The 16,488-nt window shown below is 50.2% G+C and overlaps 1 protein-coding gene and 1 long non-coding RNA gene across 6 annotated transcripts in view, besides 3 other annotated features; one reads left to right on the top strand and one right to left on the bottom strand.

The window, feature by feature from the left end:
• L3MBTL2 (L3MBTL histone methyl-lysine binding protein 2) overlaps positions 1 to 16,488 on the bottom strand; it is a 25,960-nt gene extending 9,472 nt beyond the window's left edge. For 2 of the 5 annotated variants that reach the window (NM_031488.5, XM_047441536.1), the window contains exons 1-8: positions 16,414 to 16,488; positions 11,867 to 12,104; positions 7,774 to 7,907; positions 5,538 to 5,661; positions 4,598 to 4,677; positions 2,264 to 2,381; positions 932 to 1,066; positions 513 to 601 (exon numbers count right to left, since the gene is read on the bottom strand). In NM_031488.5, the coding sequence (NP_113676.2) occupies positions 513 to 601; positions 932 to 1,066; positions 2,264 to 2,381; positions 4,598 to 4,677; positions 5,538 to 5,661; positions 7,774 to 7,907; positions 11,867 to 12,104; positions 16,414 to 16,437 (942 nt within the window). In that variant the 5' untranslated portion in view covers positions 16,438 to 16,488. The other 3 variants (XM_017028976.2, XM_047441537.1, XM_017028977.2) reach the window with 3 other exon arrangements.
• Positions 2,605 to 3,301: an enhancer, noted in NCBI's record as "H3K27ac hESC enhancer chr22:41614503-41615199 (GRCh37/hg19 assembly coordinates)". NCBI's record gives its function as "activates a minimal SCP1, AML or CMV promoter by ChIP-STARR-seq in primed H9 embryonic stem cells {active_cell/tissue: H9 hESC(primed)}" and the evidence as "EXISTENCE:reporter gene assay evidence [ECO:0000049][PMID:30033119]".
• Positions 3,302 to 3,999: an enhancer, noted in NCBI's record as "H3K27ac-H3K4me1 hESC enhancer chr22:41613805-41614502 (GRCh37/hg19 assembly coordinates)". NCBI's record gives its function as "activates a minimal SCP1, AML or CMV promoter by ChIP-STARR-seq in naive H9 embryonic stem cells {active_cell/tissue: H9 hESC(naive)}" and the evidence as "EXISTENCE:reporter gene assay evidence [ECO:0000049][PMID:30033119]".
• Positions 4,173 to 12,678, top strand: L3MBTL2-AS1 (L3MBTL2 antisense RNA 1). The gene is made up of 3 exons (NR_148200.1): positions 4,173 to 4,768; positions 7,097 to 8,170; positions 11,849 to 12,678. It is a non-coding gene; the product is annotated as a L3MBTL2 antisense RNA 1 (long non-coding RNA).
• Positions 15,144 to 15,644: an enhancer, noted in NCBI's record as "H3K4me1 hESC enhancer chr22:41602160-41602660 (GRCh37/hg19 assembly coordinates)". NCBI's record gives its function as "activates a minimal SCP1, AML or CMV promoter by ChIP-STARR-seq in primed H9 embryonic stem cells {active_cell/tissue: H9 hESC(primed)}" and the evidence as "EXISTENCE:reporter gene assay evidence [ECO:0000049][PMID:30033119]".

Raw genomic sequence — 16,488 nt, 5'->3', positions numbered from 1 at the left:
AACTCCATCTCACTAAAAATACAAAAAAATGAGCTGGGCGTGGTGGGCGCCTGTAGTCCCAGCTACTTGGGAGGCTGAGGCAGGAGAATGGCGTGAACCCAGGAGTCAGAGCTTGCAGGGAGCCGAGATCGCGCCACTGCACTCCAGCCTGGGGGACAGAGCGAGACTCCGTCTCCCAAAAAACAAAAAAGTATGTTAATAAAATCTATTGAGTGAACACTTCTGAAAAATTCTATGAGCAAAGGTAAGGTTCCGGAAGAGCAAAAGGCAGACAAAGCAGCATGACTGGAGCAGTAGGAGCAGAGTCTGGGTGGGGCAGTGGCCGACGCCAGGCTAGAAAGGCAGATGGCAACCACGTAGCAGCAGCATTTGTCTCTAGCCTTGCAAAATGTGGAGCTGCTGAAGATCATCAGGCAAGGGGTCTTAGGTAACATGCTCCAGTGAGTGGCATGCAGGATGCAGAAAAATGGAAGAGCGGAAGGAGGCACATCAGTTAAGGGCTCACTGCCGACCTTGATGTGGAAATCCACGGGAAGCGTCCTGGAGCCCACCAGCCGTTTCATGAGGTAGCCCTTCCAGTCGGTGAACTTGGCATGGATGGCTGTGGAGGCACCAGCAGAATCCTGGTTACACAGACTGACAAACCTCCACTGACAGGGGCGCTAGCGCCGACCCAGAGTGGGGACCCCTCAGCAGTGGGGACTGAAAATAGCTGCCTCTTCAGGCCAGCAATGACTTCATCTGAGAACATCAGATTCCACACGTGGATCTGCCCCCAGGCCTCTGGGATGGGGAGGGCAGGAAGCCAGGGGGCAAGTGGATTCTGTTCTAACAAGACAGAGGACTCCCATTCTACCTAACACAAGCAGAGGACTCTCCCTCTACCAGGGGCCCTACGGGAACAAGAGAGGAAATGTTCTCATCAACTCACTCCGTGGGGGCACTAGGATCTTGCTGTTGATGGCACACCAGCCAATGGGGTGGACATCCACTGTTCCCAGGTTGCACCAGAAGTCATGGCTGGCGTCATTTTCAAAGCCTTCATACCGAAGCAGCACCCGATACCCTGAAAGGAAAGGAAAGGGCACCTGTGAGGGAGGGTGAGCTGGGGAAGGTATGTTCTGTTTTTTTTTTTTTTTTCTGAGACGAAGTCTTGCTCTGTCGCCCAGGCTGGAGTGCAGTGGCGCCATCTCAGCTCACTGCAAGCTCCACCTCCAGAGTAGCTGGAACTACAGGCGCCTGCCACCACGCCCGGCTGATTTTTTTTTGTATTTTAAATAGAGACGGGGTTTCACCGTGTTAGCCAGGATGGTCTCGATCTCCCGACCTCGTGATCTGCCCTCCTCGGCCTCCCAAAGTGCTGGGATTACAGGCGTGAGCCACCGGGCCTAGCTTGGGGAAGGTATGTTCTTAAGCCTTCTCTTTTCTCTAGCCTAAGCTGGACTTCTGGCACCTATACTTCCAGGCAAGTGGATTCCTGTTGTCCACAACAGTCCTAGCCAAACAAATTCATGCTCCTAGTTCGGAAAGCATTATGGAATGGTGCTGAGAGTTAATTCTCTATAACCTGATCATCCTTGGAATGAATTTTACTTTTTAAATTTTTTCATTTTTTATAGAGACAGTATCTCACTATATTGCCCCGTCTGGTCTCGAACTCCTGAGCTCAAACAATCCTCCTGCCTCTGCCTCCAAAGTGCTGGGATTAGAGGTGTGAGCCACGAAACCTGGCCCTGGAACAAACTTTAAAAATTGGGGTTTCCAGCCAGGCACGGTGGCTCACGCCTATAATCCCAGCACTTTGGGATGCAGAGGATCACCTGAGGTCAGGAGTTTGAGACCAGCCTGGCCAAGATAGTGAAACCCCGTCTCTACTAAAAATACAAACATTAGCCGTGTGTGGTGGCCAGGTGGCCTGTAGTCCCAGCTATTCGGGAGGCTGAGGCAGGAGAATCGCTTGAACCCAGGAGGTGGAGGTTGCAGTGAGCCGAGATCGTGCCACCGTACTCCAGCCTGGGTGACAGAGCAAGACACCATCTAAAAAAAACAAAATAACAAAAACAAACAAAAAAATTTGGGGTTTCCAAGCCTGCCAAGCTCTGTGTTCCCTTCTCCGGTAAAAGAATCCTTAGAAGTGGGGCAAAAATTCCAGTGGGTGGGATTTTTGTTTTATGAAGCCAACTCCTGCCTACAACACTGTTCACCCATCTAGAGATGTCACTCTGCAGACACATCCCTGGCCCTGCCCTGGCCAAACACTCACCTGCTGTCTGGATGACAGAGGCGATCCAGTACACCCGGCTGGGGAGCACAGCATCACTGTTGAGCACCTCCACCTTCATCCCTTTCATCACATCCTCCCACTGGTCATAGAGTGGGACCTGTGTGGCGATGAGAGTGTACCGAGAGAGTGAGCTAACTGTGCTAGCAGGGGAGACAGACTGCCTCACGGCCTCAGTCAAGTCCTCGTTTGCACCTCAACTTTTCACATCACCCACTGTGTGCAGAACCAGCTACTAGAGATAAAGAGATGAGGTCTCCTGTCCTTGAAGAGCTAAGCCGGGAGTAGAGGTGGAGGTGGTGGGATGCAGGGTGATGGCTAGAGACCCAGAGTCAGACAGAACCGAGTCCTAAAATCTTTATAGGACTGGTTTCTTACTGTATCATTTTGGGCACATGATGCCTTGGTGAGCCTCGATCCCTTCGTCCCTGTGCCAGCCCGAGCAATGGCAGGGCGCTGATATTAGCACAAATATACTTTCCTTCAATCATCATACAAACCTGGGCTGTGGGCATTATGACCCCCTTGTTTACACACAGCCATCCACCTGCAAGTTTACTCTCTACCTCCCCTCCTACTGAAATGCTCCAGGGGGCCAGGCATGGTGGCTCACGCCTGTAATCCCAGCACTTTGGGAGGCCGAGACGGGCGGATCACCTGAGGCTGGGAGTTCGAGACCAGCCTGACCAACATGGAGAATCCATGTCTCTACTAAAAATACAAAATTAGCCGGGCGTGGTGGTGGCACATGCCTGTAATCCCAGCTACTCCGGAGGCTGAGGCAGGAGAATCGCTTGAACCTGGGAGGGGGAGGCTGCTGTGAGCTGAGATAGTGCCATTGCACTCCAGCTCTGGGCAACAAGAGTGAAACTCCCATATCGAAAAAATAAATAAAATAAAATAAAGTGCCCCAGGACAGCACTGGACTGTTTCAGTTGCCTTCCCAGTACCTAATCCTCACTTTCCTGCCAATGGTACTTTTGATTCTCCTTTGGGAGAATCACTTTTTTTAGAGTCTTGCTCCGTCACCCAGGCTGGAGTGCAGTGGCGCAATCTCAGCTCATTACAACCTCCGCCTCTCAGGTTCAAGGGATTCTCCTGTCTCGGCCTCCCAAGTAGCTGGGATTACAGGTGCCTGCCACCACTTCCAGCTAATTTTTGTATTTTTAGTAGAGATGGGGTTTCACCATGTTGGCCAGGCTGGTCTCGAACTCCTCACCTCAGGTGATCCACCCGCCTCGGCCTCCCAAAGTGCTGGGATTATAGGGGTAAGCCACTGCGCCTGGCCAAATTCACCTTTTTTATTCTCAGCCCTGGCTTCAGCCAGTTGAGGTATCCCATTCCATCTCCCTGGTCACTTGAGTTTAGTTCATCACAGAACCCGGACACAGTTGCGCTAGCCCAGGCACGCAGGGGCAGGCTTTTTACAAAGCAAATTGGATTATATGTGTTAGACACAAGGATGATGCAACTCCCTGGAAATGAAAATGCTGAAACTATTAGAGAATTCAGGGCAAAAAAGAGGCTCCCCCTCCAGCAGGAAGGAGGTGCACCTTCATTAGCCATTCAGAGACGAGAGGAGTGAGTTAGCTGAGTCAAGAAGCAGCTGTCATTGTTCAGGGCACTCCCCAGAGTTCAGTGGCAGTTCTGAAAGGAGGAGAGGAAGTGGCTTACTCTGGGTAAAAGACTCCCTACTTCCTCAAGACTAAAGAGGCCTCCTCCTGGATTTCCCGGAGCTTAGGGACGTGGTGTGAAGACAAAACAAGAGTGCTGTTGTGGGCTCTGCTCTCCCGGCCTGCAGGCTCCACACGTCACAGCTGCTGGATATTCGGTTCTTGCGCTCAAGCCCCGCCCCTAAGGGCCTTGCCCTTCGTTCTGGCTTTTACATGATCCGCATCGAGGAGCCTTTTACAGAAGTGGCTCCAGGAGCATCCACATCTGCCTCTCGGGGCCCACGGGGCCCAGGCCAGCTACAGAAGCACCCTGCTTTCCATGGGAAAATGCTGCAAATGGGGGAGAAAGGAGAGAAGGGTTTCAGACTGCAAAGACCCTTCGACATCAGCTAGCACCAAGTTCCATCATGTAAATAAACTGAAGGGCTTCAGACCGGGAGTGAAGCCAAGCAGGTGATAGAAGTGTTTGTAGGAGGATTTTTTTGACATAAACATGAAATGGAGCGAGTGGTAACGCCATCCGTCTCCTGCCCAGACCTCCCCACTGTCACTGTCCAGCCTGAAGCCGCCCTGGTGAAGCAGGTGGAGGAGCAGCTCCAGGCCCGGCTCCCCGGCCTCCCTCCCTCAGCTCCAGGGCACTCACGTGCTTGAAACAGCTGACGGGAGCAGCCTTGTAACTGTGATCCTTCAGGAACTTCCCCCAGTCGAAGCCCAAGACCAGAGCTGCAGAGCAGAGAGGACGAGTCAGACTAGGAGCCTGCGCAGCAGCCACTCCAGGAGCCTGGACCCCAAGGGCCCTGTGGGACCTGCAGAGGTAGGTCCCCCACCCCCAGCAGCCCCTCTCACAGCGCTGCCCACGACACCCTCCTTCACTCCCATACCTGATCCACCAGTGGCCATGAGGGACCACTGTTGAGGACTGAATTGAAAGGTGGCAAGACTCTCAGGAGTAGAGGAACATTCAAAGGGAAATTTCTCGCCCTTCTTCCCCCAAAGGGGAAAACTGAAATATCCCTGGGCTTAAATTCCTCCCTCCGCCCTGAACCTGATTGGCCACACCCAATCTAAATGTGGGGGAGGGGGTGCGCACACACCAGGGCCCCTCCAACTGAGCTCCGGCCTGCTGAGCTCAATTTCAGTTAGAAACTCAGAACAATGATAGCAGAGTTGCTTTATGCATACATTTAACTTGCTTAGCAATTGCTACACACTCAGAGAGAGGCTCCTTTCCTTATCCCACCACCCCTCTCCAAACCTGCCTTCAAACCATATCTGGGCCTTCGTTGCCCCAGGGAAACAGAAACCAAAAGGATAAAAGCAAAGAGAAACAAAAACAGCCAATTCTTGGCTTTTGAATTATCATGGGTAGGAGTCCTGATAATTTAAGGGTGTTTGAAGGCATTTTTCTGGGTAATTTCCACAATACCCAACAGGTGAGGAAGATGCAATCCGCAGTGACCCTGACTTAGGGCACTTTCTACCTGGCCGGTTTGCCCAGTCTTCATTCCTAGGAAAGGCCACCCCAAACCCAGTCTCCTCCCCAGCCACGGCAGCTTCCTAAGCAGGGCCCTCTGCTATCTTACCGTCTTGTCCTGTTGGTGTCCCATCTGCCAGCTGTCCTGTCCCTTGAGAGTGGAGGAAGGCTCCAATTTTGGCAGACCAGGCAGCCTTGTGCAGGACTTTGGCTTTTTTGGTCGGTGGTTTTCCCTGGAGAGGAGGACAGAGGCTATGTGTAGCCTGGCGGCTGGGATCATGAGTCTGGATTTGGGCCGCCAAGTTGAAGTCCTGGGCTTGGGCCAGTGACTTAACCTCTTTTGGGCTTCAGTTTCTTCATGTGTGAAACAGTGATGACAATAACAATCCTGAGCTCAGGGGGTGGTTGTGGGGAAGCGTCGGGGGTGCTAGGGGGTGCTAGGCAGTGCTGCAGAGCAGGGAGAGACCCATGTTCTATCTTTTAAGCCTTTCTGTCCTCCCAGATTCAAGTCTCAGTCATCTCCTTCCTCCAGTGTCGCTACTGATAGATCCAAAGCAAAGAATGGGCCTCACAGGGGCCCAGAAACGCTCATGAACTGGGAGGCAACCTTCTGTACATACGCGAATGTTTGGGAGAGGGTCCACATAGGCGAATGTTCGGGAGAGGGTCCACATAGGCGAATGTTCGGGAGAGGGTCCACATAGGCGAATGTTCGGGAGAGGGTCCACATAGGCGAATGTTTGGGAGAGGACCCACAGCTTTCATTAGGTACTCAAAGGGGGTCCTCCCTTTCCAAAGGGAATGGCCACTGATCTGGTCTGTATTTTGTAACTTAAGTACTGAACAGGAAGGCCAGGAATTTACTAAAGAGATCAGTGAAGCAGAAATCTGGGTTTAAGTCCCAAACAAACCTACAGGGCAAATCCCAGTTCTACAGTTTTTAGTTGTATACCTTTAAGTAAGTTACTAAAATTTCTGAGCCTTTATAAAAAGGAATTTTTTTAAAAATCAAATTTTTTAAGATCGTTAATTGGACTGAGAATGTCAAGCCCTTAGCAAGTACTCCCAAACCATAGCTATTAATATTACCAATATTATTCTTAGCTCTCGGAAGAGAGGGATCTTTCGGTGCCTTAAGTAAAATCTACAAAATGGGGAAACAATGGTAATTGTCTCACAAAGGCGACAGTGTATGAAGCAGTAAGCAGAAGGATCTGGGACACAGCAATTTCTAATAAACATCGGTGGTGCTCAAACTTCGCTGCACATTAGGATCACCTGGGAGCTCTTCCAATCTCTGTCCAGGCTACACACCATCCCAGTTAAATCAGAACCTTTCGGAGTAGGACCCAAGCATCAATATATTTTACATAATATTTTCCCCCCAGGCTGGAGTGCAGTGGCACGATCTCGGCTCACTGCAACCTCCACCTCCCAAGTTCAAGCGATTCTCCTGCCTCAGCCTCCCGAGTAACTGGGACTACAGGCGTACAACACCACGCCTGGCTAATTTTTGTATTTTTAGTAGAGACGGGGTTTCATCATGTTGGCTGGGATGGTCTCGATCTCCTGACCTCGTGATCCGCCCGCCTCGGTCTCCCAAAGTGCTGGGATTACAGGCGTGAGCCACCGTGCCCGACCAGCATCAATAATTTTTAAACTTTCCAGGTGATCCCAACATGCAGGCAAATTTGGGAAGCAGTGTTGCAGATGCTGGTCCCAGCTACTGGGAAACAAGGTAAGATGAGGCCCCTGAGATGAGGTTCCAGCCTCAATTCCGCCATTCTCCTCCTACAGAGCCACACTAGGTATGTCATTCTACCTCCTTGGACCTCAGTATACTTATCAATAAATGTGTGGGTTCAACACCACATCCAAGAATCTTTCCATCTCTAAAGATTCTATAAATATCAGTAATTTAGAAAATTGGCAAGACTTTCTAGGTAGCTGCCTGTGACATGGAGTCCGAGGAGGCATGGTCTTCCTGAAGCCACCGTGGCTGGTGAACCTTGGGCCTGTTTCCCAACTTCCTTTGAAAGGATTTATAAAAGTGTGGGGTGAAGACCAAGGGTGTCAGACTCCCCCATAGTTCTTGTTTAAAATGTACTGAATACACCAGACTCTGGGGGATGATGGTAGGTAATGGAGCGTAGCTTCAGGAACCTATAATTTAAAAAGCTCCACAAATGGATTCTACTGTCCTCTGAAGTTTGAGAACATAATAAATACCAGCTGGCCACAAGCAAGGACCTTTTCAAACTTTCCTGGCCCTGGCCTTCAGTCACTTGGTGGTTCCTGTCTCAGCACCAAAGGCACCGGGAAGGATCCAAGTGATTGCCTCTCACCTGTAACCTAGCCAAGATACTGGCTTTCTTGGAGTTGGAGGAGTAGCTCCTGGAGCAGGAGACGCTGCAGAACCTCTTGGTCTTGGAGAAGAAGGCTTCCCTTGTACCCACGATACCACACATCTCACAGACAGCTGGGAAGAGAACTTAGCACATGACTCACCCGATATGACCACCTCAAAGCAAACAAAGTGATGGGCCCTTCAAAACCTGGGGCACTGCATTAACCAGGTGAGCCCCTGCCCCCACAAAGGCTAATGGAATAAGAGGAGGAATGGGAGGTACTGGTGTGTATATCCTGAATCTACCTGAATGAAGTGCTGCTGCTTGGCCTCCCTTGGCTACAGATGTCAACAGAGGGGCTAATGGAAATCCATGAGGACGACTGGGGGAACAGGTGAGTGTTGAAAAGTTTGTCAGAGGAAAGTGAGAAGAAACTAGGCATGGTAGCTCCTGTCTGTAATCCCGGCAGTTTGGGAGGCCAAGGAGGGAGGATTGCTTGAGGGCAAGAATTTGAGACCATCCTGGGCAACATAGCAAGACCTTGTTGCCCAAAAAAAAAAAAAAAAGGCCAGGTGTGATTTGGCGGGGGGAAACTGCCTGAGCCCAGGAGGCTGAGGCTGCAGTGAGCCATGACTGCACCACTGTACCTCTAGCCTGGGCAACAAAGTAAGACACTGTCTCAAAAAAAAGCGAAAAAATTTATAGGAAGAAAAAGTGCCAAAGTCACTTAACCTCTGTGGCTCTATTTTCTCATCTATATAGTAAAGGGACTGAACTAGATCAGTGTTTTATTTATTTATTTTTGAGACGGAGCCTTGCTCTGTCACCCAGCCTGGAGTAGTACACTGGCGCAATCTTGGCTCACTGCAAGCTCTGCCTCCCGGGTTCACGCCATTCTCCTGCATCAGCCTCCCGAGTAGCTGGGACTACAGGCACTGCCACCACACCCAGCTAATTTTTTTGTGTTTTTAGTAGAGACGGGGTTTCACCATGTTAGCCAGGATGGTCTCAATCTCCTGACCTTGTGATCCGCCGTGTCGGCCTCCCAAAGTGTTGGGATTACAGGCGTGAGCCAATGCGCCCAGCTAGATCAGTGTTTTAATCGTGACTTCACTTTTTTTTTTTTTTGAGATGGAGTTTTGCTCTTGTTGCCCAGGATGGAGTGCAGTGGCGCCATCTTGGCTCATTGCAACCTTCGACTCCCGGGTTCAAGGGATTCTCCTGCCTCAGCCTCTTGAGTAGCTGGGACTACAGGCATGTGCCACCACGCCTGGCTAATTTTTTATATCTTTAGTAGAGACGGGGTTTCGCCATGTTGAGCAGGCTGGTCTTGAACTCCTGACCTTGTGATCCTCCCGCCTCGGCCTCCCAAAGTGCTGGGATTACAGGCGTGAGCCACCATGCCTGGCCCGTGACTTCACTATTAGACCCACCTGGGGAGCTTTTAAAAATGCCTGAGATGGCCGGGCGCGGTGGTGGGCGTCTATAATCCCAGCTACTCCGGAGGCTGGGGCAGGAGAATCCCTTCAACCTGGGAGGCGGAGGTTGCAGTGAGCTGAGATGGCACCACTGCACTCCAGCCTGGGCAACAAGAGTGAAACGCTGTCTCAAAAAAAAAAAAAAAAAAGCCTGAACCTAAAATTCTAATGAATTGGTCTGTGACGGGATACTGGTACCTGTAGTTTGTTAAAAGCTCCCCTAGATGATTCTAATGTGCAGAACCCCTGGTCTAAGTGGTCTCTAATGGTTCCTTCTAGTTCTAAATCCTAAGATTCTAAGAGAAGGGCTGGAAGAGGATAGAAGGGAGAAAGATAAAAGGCAAGGGATGAAAAGAAGACAATATAAATAGAAAGGAAGTAAGGCCGGGAGCGGTGGCTCACGCCTGCAATCCCAGCACTTTGGGAGGCTGAGGCGGGCGGATCACGTAGTCAGGAGATTGAGACCATCCTGGCTAACACGGTGAAACCCCGTCTCTACTAAAAAATACAAAAAATTAGCCGGGCATGGCGGAGGGCGCCTGTAGTCCCAGCTACTTGGGAGGCTGAGGCAGGAGAATGGCGTGAACCCGGGAGGCGGAGCTTGCAGTGAGCCAAGATCGTGCCACTGCGTTCCGGCCTGGGTGACACAGCGAGACTCTGTTTCAAAAAAAAAAAAAAAAAAAAAAAAAGGCCGGGTGCGGTGGCTCACGCCTGTAATCCCAGCATTTTTGGAGGCCGAGGAGGGCAGATCACAAGGTCAGGAGATCGAGACCATCCTGGCTAACATGGTGAAACCCCGTCTCTACTAAAATACAAAAAAAATTAGCCGGGTGTGGTGGCAGGCGCCTGTAGTCCCAGCTGCTGGGGAGGCTGAGGCAGGAGAATGGCTTGAACCTGGGAGGCGGAACTTGCAGTGAGCCAAGATCATGTCACTGCATTCCAGCCTGGGTGACAGAGCAAGACTCCGTCTCAAAAAAAAAAAAAAAAAGGAAATAAGATTCAACTGCAAAGAGTATTAGATTACTCTTCTAACGAGTTTGGGGCTGGGTGCGGTGGCTCATGCCTGTAATCCTAGCACTTTGGGAGGCTGAGGTGGGGGATCACTTGAGCTTGGGAGTTCAAGACCAGCCTGGGTAACAGGGCAAAACCCCTGTCTCTACAAAAAAAAAATACAAAAATTAGCCAGGCATGGTGGCGTGCACCTGTAGTCTCAGCTACTCAGGAGGCTGAGGTGGAAGGATTGCCTGAGCCCAGGAGGTCGAGGCTGCAGTGAGCCATTTTCACACCACTGCACTGCAGCCAGGGTGACAGAGTGAGACCCTGCCTCAAAATAAAACAAAAAAAGTTTGGGATCTAAAGGATGGCAGTGTCCTCACAGACTATCCAGCCTGCCTCTCTTCACAGGCAGCCCACACATGGGAGGCCCTGACACAGGGGTTCAGCAGCTGTCCAAGCATCACATTTCCAAAGTCAACTGGCTTCCAGATGATCCATAGGGATTCTCATCTGCCCGCCCCCAACCCAGTCCTCCTACCCAGGGTCACTTTATCGTGTATTACCTTCCCACTCCCACCCTGACTTCCAAACCACAAGTTATTTGTCCCTTCTCAGAAAGTAACCAAAACACTTTAGGTTTCCTATCTTCTCAACATCCACGTTGGAAATCCATGGTATACTTATACAAAAAAGCAGCACCATGCTACTCAGTGGCATCTAATCTGTGCTGAATACACATTAGTTATATGAAAGAATGAGTGAAGTCACAATTTGAAATTAGACTAGGGCCGGGCACAGTGGCTCACTCCTGTAATCCCAGCACTTTGGGAAGCTGAGGTGGGTGGATCACCTGAGTTCAGGAGTTTGAGACCAGCCTGGCCGACATGGTGAAACCCCGCCTCTACTAAAAATACAAAAGTTAGGCTGGCGCGGTGGCACACGCCTGTAATCCCAGCACTTTGGGAGGCCGAGGCGGGTGGATCACGAGGTCAGGAGATCGAGACCATCCTGGCTAACGTGGTGAAACCCTGTCTCTCCTAAAAATACAAAAAATTAGCCGGGCGTCATGGCGGGCGCCTGTAGTCCCAGCTACTCAGGAGGCTGAGGCAGGAGAATGGTGTGAACCCGGGAGGCAGAGCTTGCAGTGAGCCGAGATCGCGCCACTGCACTCCAGCCTAGGCAACAGAGCGAGACTCCGTCTCAAACAAACAAACAAACAAAAAAATACAAAAGTTAGCTGGATGTGGTGGTGGGTGCCTGTAGTCCCAGCTACTTGGAAGGCTGAGGCATGAGAATCACTTGAACTCAGGAGGTGGAAGTTGCAGTGAGCCGAGATCATGCCACTGTACTCCATCCTGAGCAACAGGGCGACACTCAAGTCTCAAAAAAAAAAAAAAAAAAAAAAAGAAATTAGACTTCAGCAAAGGAAGTTAACACAGTGGCTACTTGGGGTGCTTCTGTCTCCCTTACAGGTCCTTACACATCTGATCCCTTAGAAATCAGAGTTAATAGCCTTTTACATCTGGATGGCTCTGCCCATATAGCCTATATCCACCCCCCTCTTCCTCTATAATCTTCTATCTCCTCTCCATCCTCAGGGGACACTCTGAAGGCACCTGGCTCAGAACCACTGCCATCCAAGGAGCGAGGAGTCCCAGGGCTGAGCAAATGCAGCGGGGAGGTCGGCAGTTCCCCTGCTTCCCGATCCTCATTTTCTGCTTCACTTGACTCCTCCAGATAGGAGCTGCTCTCACTGCCCACACTGCTGTTATAACTCCGGAAACTATCATAGCCACCAAACAGCTCCAAGTCGTCATCTTCCTCTTCCTCCATTGGTTCTGAAGATGGGGTCTCCTAATGGAGGATGACACAAACCAGGTAGAAAGAATTATGATTGGCTTTAGTGCACGGGGGGAGAAGCTGCAGATCTGCTATCAGCCCCCTCACACTTTCGGGAACCTTTCAAATACCCCTTTTACAAACACCAAGATCATTACTTCTATTTACACATTTCTCCACCATGATGCAATTCAACAGCTTAACAAGACAGAAAATATGTGTTAGGAATTCACCAGGCTCCTCTGTGGATTTACAAATGATGATATTTTAACATGGTTCAAATAGAATACTGTATAACAATGTGGGCCAGGTGCGGTGGCTCATGCCTGTAATCCTAGCACTTTGGGAGGCCGAGGCTGGCAGATCACCTGAGGTCAGGAGTTCGAGACCAGCCTGGCCAAGAGGGTGAAACCCTGTCTCTACAAAAAAATACAAGAAAAAATTAGCCAGGCGTGGTGGCGGGCACCTGTAGTCCAGCTACTTGGGAGGCTGGGGCAGAGAATTGCTTGAACCCAGGAGGCAAAGGTTGTAGTGGGCCAAGATCGTGCCACTGCACTCCAGTCTGCGTGACAGAGCAAGACTCCATCTCAAAAAAAAAAAAAAAGTGAAATATCCTAAGGTACTTCACAAAGACTTTCTGGGGTAGAAGATATATTAGAAATTAATTCTTAGCCAGGCACAGTGGCCCACACCTGTAATCCCAGCACTTTCCGAGGCCAAGGTGGGTGGATCACGAAGTCAGGAGTTCAAGACCAACCTGGCCAAGATGGTGAAACCCCGTCTCTACTAAAAATACAAAAATTGGCTGGGTGTGGTGGCGGGTGCCTGTAATCCCAGGTACTTGGGAAGCTGAGGCAGAGAATTGCTTGAACCCGGGAGGTGGAGGTTGCAGCGAGCTAAGATCGCGCCACTGCACTCCAGCCTGGTAATGGAGTGAGATGCTGTCTCAAAAAGAAAAACAAAAATTCTTCCCCGTTCAATATACATCAAAATGATCTCAACTCAGAAACAATTTAAGTCACAGAAAAGTTAATTTGGGACCTAGACTGCTCCAAAGAGGATGGGAGAGGCAGATGACACACAGATAACTGTGGCATCTTGGTGTGTACTACAGCGCTAGATTCAGCTCTGAGCCTAACTAGCTATAGGGCCTTGGGCAAGTCATTTAACTTCTGTGGGCTTCAACTTTCTCATCTATAAAATAAAAATATTTGACTCGTGAGATGCAAATGAGATAATGTATATGAATCTACCCAGCATGTAACAGAAAACGTGTGAAGAGCCTGGGTACGGTGGTTCACATCTGTAATCCCAGCACTTTGGGAGGCTGAGGCAGGTGGATTGCTTGAACCCAGGAGTTTGAGACCAGCCTTGGCAACACAGCCACACCCCATCTCTACAAAAGAAAAAAAAATTAGCCAGGTGTGGTGGCATGCGCCTGTAGTCCCAGCTTCTTGGAGCTGAGGTGGAAGGACTGCTTGAGCCTGGGAGGTCAAGGCTGTAGTGAGCCATAACCATGCCACTGCAATCCAGCCTGGGCAAGAGAATGACATCCTGTCTCCAAAGAAAAAGAAAAAAAAGCTGGGTGCGGTGGCTCACACCTATAATCCCAGCACTTTGGGTGACCGAGGCGGGCGGATCACTTAAGACCAGGAGTTCAAGACCATCCTGGCCAACATGGTGAAATCCCATCTCTAGTAAAAATACAAAAAATAGCTGGGCATGATGGTGGGTGCCTGAAATCCCAGCTACTCGGGAGGCTGAGGCAGGAGAATCACTTGAACCCAGGAGTTGGAGGTTGCAGTGAGCCGAGATTGCACCACTGCCCTCCAGCCTGGGCAACAGAGTGAGACTCCTTCTCAAAAAAAAAAAGCTGGGTGGTGGTGGCATGCACCTGTGGCTCTAGCTACTCAGAAGGCTGAGGTGGGAAGACAGCTTGAGCCTGGGAGGTCAAGGCTGCACTGAATCATGATCACACCATTGCACTCCAGCCTGGATGACAGAGGGAAGACACTGTCTCAAAGGAAAAAAAAGGTGTGAAGAAAGGAGAAAAGTTTGGCCTCTGGTCCAGAGCTCAAATATCTCTAGTGCTTACTCGCTGTATGACCTGCAGCAAGTCAATTTTGCAGTGCTTCAGTTTCCACATCTGTACAATGAGGATAGTACCACCTATTTCATAGGGTTTGGGGGCTGGCCATGGTGGCTCATGCCTGTAATCCCAGCACTTTGGGAGGCCGAGACAGGAGGATTGCTTGAGCCTAGGAGTTCAAGACCAGACTGGGCAACATAGGGAAACCCTGTCTCTATAAAAAATGGAAAAAATTAGCTGGGTGTTTTGGTTAGGGAGGCTGAGGTGGGAGGAACTCTTGAGCCAGGGAGGTCAAGGCTGCAGTTAGCTATGACTGCACCACTGCACTCCAGCCTGGGTGACAGAGAGCAACCCTGTTTCAAAAAAAAAAAAAAAAAAAAAAAAAGGATTTGGGGGAGAAGTAAGAGACGATACAGGCAAAGCTCTCAGAATAGTGACTTGCATATAGTAAGTGCTCAATAAAGGTTGCCAATTTTTACTGGTTGAAAGCATAGGCTCTGATTTGCCTGAGTTTGAATCCTGGCTCTAACATTTATTAACTGTGTGATTTTGTGCGTATTTTATCTTGCTGCTGTCATCATTACAAGAGAGGTAATAAGCTTTCTTTAGAGAATTCTTACGAAGATTGAGATAAGATATGTAAAACCTAGTTCTATTTCCAGCAGTCAGTAACAGCTCTAAAAGTGTGACTTGCTATTCTTATTCTCCACATGATTATTCTCGTTTACCCTTGCAGAAAGTTTGAGCTATTCCACCTTATATTTGCAACTACACATGCAAATATGCTAGAAAGGAAGCAATTTTTTTTTTTTTTTGAGACACAGTCTCGCTCTGTCGTCCAGGCTGGAGTGCAGTGGTGCAGTGGCCCGATCTCGGCTCACTGCAAGCTCCGCCTCCCACGTTCACGCCATTCTCCCGCCTCAGCCTCCCGAGTAGCTGGGACTACAGGTGCCTGCCACCACGCCCGGCTAATTTTTTTGTATTTTTAGTAGAGATGGGGTTTCACCATGTTAGCCAGGATGGTCTCGATCTCCTGACCTCGTGATCTGCCCGCCTCGGCCTCCCAAAGTGCTGGGATTACAGGCGTGAGCCACCGCACCCAGCAAGGAAACAATTCAAATATAGGTACCCTTGTCAGGCAGGGTGACAGAGACCACCTATAGTCCCAGCTACTTAGGAGGCTGAGGTGTAAGGATTGCTTGAGCCCAAGAGTTAGAGGCTGCAGTGCGTTGTCATCACGCCTGTGAGTAACCACTGCATTCCAGCCAGGGCAACATAGGAACACCCCGTCTCTTAAATATAAGGTGCCCAGAAACCAAATGATTAAAGGATGAGGCGGGGTGCAGTGGCTCATGCCTGTAATCCCAGCACTTTGGGAGGCCGAGGTGAAGCAGACAGATCACCTGAGGTCAGGAGTTCGAGACCAATCCGACCAACATGGCAAAACCTCGTCTCTACTAAAAATACAAAAATTAGCCGGGTGTGGTGACACATGCCTGTAATCCCAGGAACATGGGAGATGGAGACAGAATTGCTTGAACCCGGGAGACGGAGGTTGCAGTGAGCCGAGATCGCGCCACTGCACTCCAGCCTAGGTGACAGAGCAAGACTCCGTCTGAAAGAAAAAAAAAAAAGGATGAGTGGGTTCCAGGTTGCAGTACAGTGTGAAAAGCATAACAGGCAAAGTTTCAGAGGCGGACAGACTTAGTGCCAATCTCCTTCACTTTCCAGCCGGGGTAACTTCCTGGGGTGTCGCACCACCTCTAAGCCTCAGTGGCTTGAACGACAAAGACGAAAGAATAATACATGATTGCTGTGAGTGTACTGGAAGATAATGCACGTGAACGTTACAGACAAGGAGTGATGTTCACCCAACTTTAATCTCCCTTCACTTCCCACCTCATGTAACAGGCCTCACAAGCCCTAAACAACACAGCCACGAGACAAGCAGGATAAGGAAGATTCAGGAGCTCTCAGATCCTAAACCTAGTTCCCTTTCCCCCAGGCCAGGGACGGCTGTTCCTCCCTGAACTCCTCGCCGAACGTTGGCCCCAGCAGGAGAGGGGCAAAAAGTAACGTCAATTGCCTCTGCCCCTGGCTCAGTTTAACTACCTCAGTTTATCCATCCTCCCACCCTCCACCCTCCAGGCGTCGCTAAAAGCCCTAAAGAAGGGCCCACGGAGCGAGGCTCTCGGAGTTCCCTTTCCCAGTCACGCTAAGTCCTCGCCTTCTCACCTCAATACTCCGGGGCTTCTCCATGAGACCTCAGTTTCGCCAAGCGTCACCAGGTGCAGGAAGCCATATTGGCCT

Source organism: Homo sapiens, chromosome 22 (genome assembly GCF_000001405.40).
Source record: "Homo sapiens chromosome 22, GRCh38.p14 Primary Assembly".
In the NCBI taxonomy this organism is placed as follows: Eukaryota; Metazoa; Chordata; class Mammalia; order Primates; family Hominidae; genus Homo; species Homo sapiens.
The sequence above is the reverse complement of the archived record's forward strand: the minus strand, read 5'-3'. Positions and strand labels throughout refer to the sequence as shown.